General features: G+C 56.2%; 1 annotated feature.

Annotated features, from left to right (window-relative positions):
• Positions 1,238–2,188: an enhancer, noted in NCBI's record as "H3K4me1 hESC enhancer chr10:72837401-72838351 (GRCh37/hg19 assembly coordinates)". NCBI's record gives its function as "activates a minimal SCP1, AML or CMV promoter by ChIP-STARR-seq in primed H9 embryonic stem cells {active_cell/tissue: H9 hESC(primed)}" and the evidence as "EXISTENCE:reporter gene assay evidence [ECO:0000049][PMID:30033119]".

A 2,623-nucleotide genomic window follows, 5' to 3' on the forward strand; every position in this document is an offset into this window, starting at 1 on the left:
GTAGTGCTCACCTTGGGGGCCCCAGCCTCCCTGACATTCTCAGGTAAACCTCCCTCAGGCCCCAGCCCCAGTCCCAGCCAGCAAGAGCGTTGTGTCTCTGCTCAGCCACCATCCTGTAGTTTCGCTAATGCCCTCTAATGGGCCCATTTAGCAGCCCTGTCTCAGCTGTCACTGCAGCAGCTAATTGCTACTCCTCCTCCAGCTACACACAGAGCTCTGCAATCAGCCTGACGATTCCACGCCGCCCAGCTCAAACTAGCTGAGGCGCTGCAGACCTCAGCCAACAAGGAGCTTCTCCAATCCCCCAGGTGCCATGTTCTTGCTGTTGTTTCCTGGGGCCCCTGAAGTGCCTGACCCTGAGCAAGTTCAAGGAGCACACAGGGAGGAGGAGCCAGGGACAGAGTCAGAGTCAGTAGGCACAGAGCTCTTGGCAGCCTGGGATGAGGAGGGGAGTCACAGGGACCCTGAATGGGAATAGAGTTCCAGTCTCGCAACTGTGTCTTGTCTTATAGCAGGAGCTCCCCAAAGCAGACTCTGGGTCAAAGATTCAACTGCAAGTAATTTGCTTAGGAGATGCCCCCAGGAAGTGCTACGAGAGAGGCAGAAGGCAGGCAGGGAGGCAGGAAGCAGGGAGAGCCATGAAAATGTGTGGTAAGGAGGTTACAGCTCAGGTCCTGGCTTGGGCCCCCAGGGAGTGCCCTCTGAGAGCCTATGTGGAAGCAACCTCAGAGCTTTCTCTCTGGAAGGTCGATGAAGCTGTGTTGCTAACCCACCAACTTCCACCCTCATAGGTGAGGGCTGCAGCTTTTCTGGCACTTCTGGCTTGCCCTGGGCTTGCCCTGGCAGAGTGAGAGCCCTGAGTCAGGGAGACTCTGGGAGCCAATTGCATGCTTGGGAACTGCCTGCCCATGACACCCAGGGGAACCCGATGGGCCGGCATGGACAGCTTCTGCCACTGGCTCCCAAAACAGCAGTGCACACATAGGAGGAGGAAGCAGGACGACTTCTGGATTAGAGCCTCTGGGCTTACAGGAACCAACTCTGAGCTGAAGCCACTGGCCAGGCTCTTGAATATGATAAGAGAATCACAGCATGCGGCTCAGCACGTGGCTCAAGGCGGATGTCAGCCCCGCTGGACACCATGCTCCCCTCAGCCCTGCATCTTCTTTCAGGCTGTCCCTTCTGCCCGGACAACGCTCTCCCACTCCCCTCCCCTCCTCACCCCTAGTCCCTTCACCTAATTAACTCCTGGGCATTCCTCGGGGCTCTGTCTTAATGTCACCTCCTCTGAGAGCCCTCCTTGATGCTCCAGATTGGGTCAAGCATATTATGAACCATCACAAGGCCATGCATTCCTCCTGCAGAACCTGAGCTCAACAGAAATAAATCAAAACTTCACTCACCAGGGTATCCTCAGAGTTCATTGCCACATCTGCCTCATCATAATTTTTCTTAAATGAGTGAATGAATGAATAGGTTTCAGGGGGCCTGTTCTGGGTCAGATACAGAAGGAGAATGTGTGTGATCCAGGGTCCACCTGGAGTTGCAGTGGATGGACCAGGAGGTAACCAGTTGGCGATATGCTGGAGGGGACAGGGACTGTTACCCTTCCCAGCTGGCTCTTCCCTGGAGTGTACAGAGGGCTGGGGTGTGCCCACCCCTTTCCCCACAGCTTCTGCACCCTAGGCCTGGCACCGTGGTGTGTGCTGTACCCTCTCCAAAATCCACCACCCTCCAGTGATAACAGACTGCAGTGTCGGGGATTCAAAGACACCTCTGGAAGTTTGTGCTCAGGTGGACACCCCTGCAAGGCCAGGGCCCTTAAAGGGGAGGCAGTGCTTTTGAACAGTGGGTCTAGGGGTGTAGAGTACACTTCCCTGCAGGGCTCTAGCCCTGAAAAGTCAGGGGAGCCAGAGGGCTTTGCTCCCAGCCACAATGTGGGCCTGGGAATCCATGGCTGCCCTGGGCCTCAGTCCCACGCTGCCTTCTCACAGGCCAGTGAGAGGACAGATGGGACCCCCTGCAACCTTCACAAGATGGCATTGAGTCAGAGGGACCTGAGCTTCCACACTATTAGGGGAGGCAAAGACACATGAACTGGCAGCTACTTAGCACCATCCCGGGAGCCAACCTGTATAAGGAAGAAGGCTTCGGTCACCTCCTGGGTCCTGGCTGGGGGTTCCCCAGGGTTTGTTGACCTTGAGTGGCCGAGGCTTCTCAGATTCCCTCTTTCTGCTCACCTCATCTGCTGCATTTCCCTCAGAAGGCCAGGCCGGCCTTTCTCCTCTCCTCACTCTATCTCCTGCCTTCTTCCTTGGCAAGCTCTTCTACTCTTGACCTCACCACCTGCCATGCGGATGGCCTCAAATCTCTTCACCTTCAGACCCCACATATTTGGCGGTAAGGAGACATCTCTACCTGGAGGTCCCTCAGCAACCTCCAACCCCACCTGTCCCCAGGTGACCACATCCTCTCCTTGTCCAAAGTCTGCTAACTTCGTGCACCATCCATCTGGTCACCCAAAGCGGAACCCGAGGACCACTCTTGACTTTCCCACCTGCTCCCCAGCCCAGCGGCACAGTATGCATGTCTCCCCTGTTAGATGTCCGTCCTCATCTTGTCA

Source organism: Homo sapiens, chromosome 10 (genome assembly GCF_000001405.40).
Source record: "Homo sapiens chromosome 10, GRCh38.p14 Primary Assembly".
In the NCBI taxonomy this organism is placed as follows: Eukaryota; Metazoa; Chordata; class Mammalia; order Primates; family Hominidae; genus Homo; species Homo sapiens.